This window comes from Homo sapiens, chromosome 3 (genome assembly GCF_000001405.40).
Source record: "Homo sapiens chromosome 3, GRCh38.p14 Primary Assembly".
NCBI lineage: Eukaryota > Metazoa > Chordata > Mammalia > Primates > Hominidae > Homo > Homo sapiens.
Genome location: NC_000003.12, coordinates 189,400,733 through 189,406,337, shown reverse-complemented (window position 1 = coordinate 189,406,337; position 5,605 = coordinate 189,400,733). Strand labels below are relative to the sequence as shown.

Sequence of the window (5,605 nt, the reverse complement as noted above, 5' to 3'; positions counted from 1 at the left end):
ATCTGTCCCATGGACTATGACTTGATAAAAGGAGTTTGTGATTACGTCTTTCCCTAATGACTAAAGCCTTCTTGTAGTGCAAAGTCTCCTGTGGCACATGAGCAAGAATATTTGTTTTGAAAAATAAATTTAAAAGATAATTTATTAGACCTTTGATTATTCAAGGAACACTCTGTCACCACTGCTCTTTGGGAGATGAAAAGTATATCATGTGTTCCAGTTTGCATTGAGAGAACTAAAGCTCAAAAGGCACTTTTAATGTGTCCAAGAACCATATAGTCAGGAGTCCATCCCATTACTATAATGCACCAGACCAACCATCTGTCAAAGTCTCCTATCAACATATCATAGAATAATCTCCAGTGCACATATACAACAAAATAATTCCTCATCTATTCATTCTAGGTATAATTGTCCACAAAACTGGTTCTGGTTGAAACAGTCATGGAATTTTTTTATGCCCAGTAAAGAAAAATATCAGGAATTAAAACTTTCAACCCAATAATCTACGTTCATAAAAGAAATTAATAATAATTGTTAGCCAAGATCAACTTAACAGTAAATCCCCACTTAATGTCTATGACAGGTTGTTGGATATTGCAACTTTAAGTGAAGCAGTATACGGCATTTCCTTGAATAATGCCATTTTGTTCAACATTGTTTTGTTATAATATTGATAAGGAAGAAAACTGGCTGCATTATATGTCCTTTTGCTTAATGTCACAGTTAGAACCTATAAATGACATTAAGTGAAGACTTAGCATACTTGGAAAGTAAGATAGATCAGAGAGAAGACATTCACTTTTTAGGACTATAACTTCCCCTAAAAAATGTGGTAGAAATGGCACCATCCTTTCTTTTTTTTTTTTTTTTTTTGGTACTTTTACTATTCCTTCTTTGGCAATAGCCCAGTGTGTTTCAAGGGACAATATTAGGTAAACAAATGGTTATTTGTTCAGGACTTGTGACAAACAAATTAAGGAGAAATTTCCCCTTGCATTGGCATAGAACTTGCTTGACGTCTCATAAGTAAGGAGCCAAGCGAGTGATATCATCATCTTCAGACTCTAACCTCAGGATGTCTCACCTCTCACATCAAATACCCTAATCCTCTGTATTAAGTACAACTTCAGGCCAAGGTATTAATGTGTCCTGGACCTTAAAGAAAGTATTTGCAGTCACAAATAGCTTCATTTTAAGCAGGTTTGTTTTCATGAAAACTTTTATACCTGAAATGGAAGCTAGTAACTAGACTTTGGAGAAGAAGGGATTTTCACCAACTCACTGGGAAGTCCCTGTGGTTTCTAAGTTCCATTTCTATTTCATTTCATGAAGGTATTAATACAGTTGGTCCTGTCATTTCAAACCAGCAGAGTCAGTTTTTTTCACCATTGACCTTGCAATTGAAGAAGTCAAGTCTGCAATTTCCGTACAGTTGTACAATATTGGATTGCCCCAGGTGTTACAGACTAACTTGTCAATGTTAATTTTACAGTACATAAAATTAAGGAGCAGAGCAAGTAAGAGAGTACCCAAGATCAACGTAGAAAGTATAGAACTAGAAGCCAGATCTCAAAATTCCAAGTACAATGTCTTTTGTACCATGCTATACTGTGCATGTGTGGGTACATTTAAAGACCAGACCAGAGACAATGCATCCAAATAAATGCAGATTCATTTTTATCCATTCAAAATAATCCCCTTAGAAGTTTACAACTATTTTAATAATACTACTATTGTTCAAAACGTATTTGGGGTTCTTTTGGGGCATTAAATCTAGTCTGTGGTACAATATACATACTTTATGGCACATTATTAGTGATTGCCTTTGCTGTCCAACTGTTAGCTCATTAAGGTCCAGTCTATATTTAATTTTGCCTGTATCTCCAGTACTTAGCATAATACTTGATATAAAACACATCATTAAAAACATTTTTTGAATAAATGTATATATATGTTTACTATTTATGGAAGATTTAATTATTGAAGATGGTCAATATCACAAAAAAGTTCAAGCTCATAAAATCAGTGGCTGGGTTGGGTCATGTTTCATGTGATTCTTAGAGTACTTGTCTCTCTCCCACACACCCAGAGTAATTTGAGCTCAGTGACTGTGTCTTATTCACCTTAGAGTCCCATAGCACCACTCCCAATTCTTGCACAGAAAGAAAACTCTCATACATATTTAATGAATGTTTGATGAATAATGGAGCAGTAGGTAGTAATTTGGATGAAGGTACAGACCACTTGTTTACAGGTTGCTGAAACAAGAATGCAATGATAATGTTTCTTAAGTTGGCAAATAAAAATTAACATAGGCTATTGCCAAAGTTATAATCCTCAACTAGCCACTTCGAACTGTGATATAAAATGAAAATACATTGTATTGACTGAGAGCTGATGTCCAGATAAATTTAGCTGCCAACATCCTAATTGCATAGTGTTCGTAAAGAGAGAGTTTTCTATTTTGCAAAGATCTCTCATCAGGCTCTTTTCAGGATGTGATATATATTTAATGTCACTAACCTTACCTCACCAGCAGGAATTAAACATTAATTAAGAAGCATTTATGACTATAGTAAGTTCTCTGATACTTGGTGCTGGTTATGCGTGGTGTTTGGAATTGCACATATCTGCACTTTCCTGGAATGTCAGGCTATTAACAAATGCTATCTAGGAATAGTGTACCATAGGAGATGTTCCAAAACACACACACACACACAACACACTTAAGTCATTAAAGCCTGTTTGTAGTAGCCCGTTTTCATGCTGCTGATAAAGACATACCCAAGATTGTATAATTTATTTAAAAAAAAAAGAGGTTTAATTGACTCACAGTTCCGCATGGCTGGGGAGGCCTCACAATCATGGTGGAAAATGAACGAAGAGCAAAGGGATGTCTTACACTGTGGCTGGCAAAGAGAGAATGAGAGCCAAGAGAAAGAGGAAATCCCTTATAAAACCATTAGACCTCGTGATACTTACTACCATGAGAACAGTATGGGGAAAACCGCCCCCATGATTCAATTATCTCCCACTGGGTTGCTCCCACAGCACATGGGAATTATAGGAGCTACAGTGCAAGATGAGATTTGGCTGGGGACACAGCCAAACCATATCACTGTTTAATAAATGTACTTGGGCAAAACCAGTGAGACCTAGCTACCCAGGAGGTATCCTTTTTTAAAACATTGGTACAATAATGAGACTCAGGCCCACATTCCCATCGGATCGTGTATTCCTTTGGGAATAGGAATTAATAAACTCTACCTTTTGCCACACGTTGTTCAGGGCAGAGTTGGAGGTGAGGTAGATAAACTTCAGGGTTTTGAAATCCCATGAAGCTTAATAAAAAGTATAAAAAATAACTTCAATCTTGGGGGTAACTACAAGGAATAGTCAACAGTGCCTTGAAAGTTTTCTAATCTAAAATGATTTTTTTCATGGGAAGATATGCCCAAAACATTATGTTTTATTCCTTAAGGAGAATCTTCTCTATTTGAAATTCTTACTATGTTCTAAATTAACAAGCAGGACTTATTTTTTGTAAGGTGGGTTTTATTGCTGAACTTGTTTGTGTAGGAAATTAAGAGCTGGTTACATTCAGTCCTGCCCATATACAAACATGGACGTTCAATGGGAAAAGGTAGGAAATTTGTTTTCCACACTGCTTCTATCCCTCTAGTTACCCTGATGTAACTCTCCATCTAGAGGGCTTATCAATATTGTGGGATATTAAAATGAGTCCTTACATGAGGCAAGTCAGATGGGGACTGGGCAGGATAAATAGCACTTCCACTGGACAGCCAGTGGGGCCACTTGCTGGCTTCTGTCTCGTTGGCTAGATGCCATCATGAAAGGTAACCGAACCCCTCCCTCCAGGTTATTTATCTTTCTCATTCCAGTGGAAACTGAGTGAGTGGCTATGAGTCTGATGTTACTCTCATGTGGCTTTTAAGCCCTAGCCAGCAATAGCTCAACTTGAGAGTGAGCACAAGCGAGAGAGAGTTAGGGGAGAAGGGGTGTCAGCTGCTAACACTGCTTCTGTCTGTATCATTCAAGATCAGTTCATCTCTTCCTGGGATCTGGTGAGCTCTGCATTCATCACATCAGCACAGGCTTTTTCCTGCATAATCCGAAGGATCTTTTCAAGTTTTTAGCATGGAAAATAACCCCCTTTCCCCTCCCATCCCATATGCTGTCAAATCTGTGACTTTCAGCACATGAATCCTATTTAGCCCCATGAAGTAAATAAAGGCTTTCAAAATTTAAAAGCCAAAGACTGCCTCTCCCCTTCTTTTTTATTTTTGCTATCTTTTTTTTTTTGAGGCAACATAAAGAATGTCTGCCTGCCTAAATGGAGGAGGAGTTAAAGAGAAAACAACAGAAGTAAAATTTCATCCTTAATGCTTCAAAAATATTATCTGACAGGTCTTGTAAATGCACTACGGAGAGAAGGGGGACATGAGCTCAAATAAGTGTATTCATAGTTTATCTTAAGACTGTAGAAATAAGTAGAGATCGCCTGGTTTAATTCTTCCATTACAGTGAGGAAAACCAGGATCCAGAAGAAGAAAGTACGAGTATAGGGAAAAGAATGGAATTCTGAGCCCACGATAGATGTCTTCTCAACTTGGTTTAAGGAAGAGTATAGACTTTAATGTTAATGAAATCCATATTTAAATTCCTATCTGAAAATATTTTTAATTAGAATTTGAAATGTATAGATTCTGCCATTTGCTAGAATGTGTGACCACGGACAACTACTAAACATTCTAAGGGCTATCTGTGTTTAGTATATAAGTGTAAAGTAATATTATACTTGTAGACTTGTTATAATGAAACCTTATGTGAAGTATCTAAGTATCTAAATAGTTGGCACAAAGTAGATGCTCCATAATTCATTGCCGTGATTTATGGTATGCTGCTATACTGTAACTCTATATCATAAATGTAATTATAGGTTGTCACATGAATTTGTATATGAAAGATACTAGTTAGATGCTATAATAAATAAATATTGTGACTTTGAGCACATGAATCTTATTTAGCCCCATGAAGTAAAGGCTTTCAAAACTTAAAAGCTACTAGCTAGATACTAGTATATCTCTTAAGAGGCAAGTCTTTTAATTTCAATTATTCACTTCTTCCAAAATTTTAAGTTTCTAACACTGCAACATTTACAGTTAGAATGTACTGACATTTTTAGTTAGGACAGTTCACCCAATAAGAATACTTGTCAGTTGAAAAAGGACAGAATAAGACAGATTCAATAGCCAATATACTTTTTCATACAAGAAACCTGACCTCTACAGAGGAAAATTACTTTTCCAAGGTGGCAGAATTAGTTCCTTGTAGAACTAGGCTTAGGATTCCAACATCCAGGTATGTAGACTAGGTCATGTCACTCTCTCTGCCCTACTTGTAACATAAGAGTTGGGAGACATACGCATCAAACTTCAAAGTAATCCAGACTCTTTTACTGCCTTCATACTACACCTTATAACATCCATCAGATGTATTATAAATGACCTTATAGAACTCTTTAGACTCACTTCACACCAACAAAACATAGATTGTAAGAGGCAGATCTGGTTGCCTTAAA

At 36.4% G+C, this 5,605-nt stretch overlaps 1 annotated feature.

Moving 5' to 3' along the window:
* Positions 1,314–1,393: an enhancer, noted in NCBI's record as "active region_20981". NCBI's record gives its function as "activates an Ori minimal core promoter by ATAC-STARR-seq in GM12878 lymphoblastoid cells {active_cell/tissue: GM12878}" and the evidence as "EXISTENCE:reporter gene assay evidence [ECO:0000049][PMID:35858748]".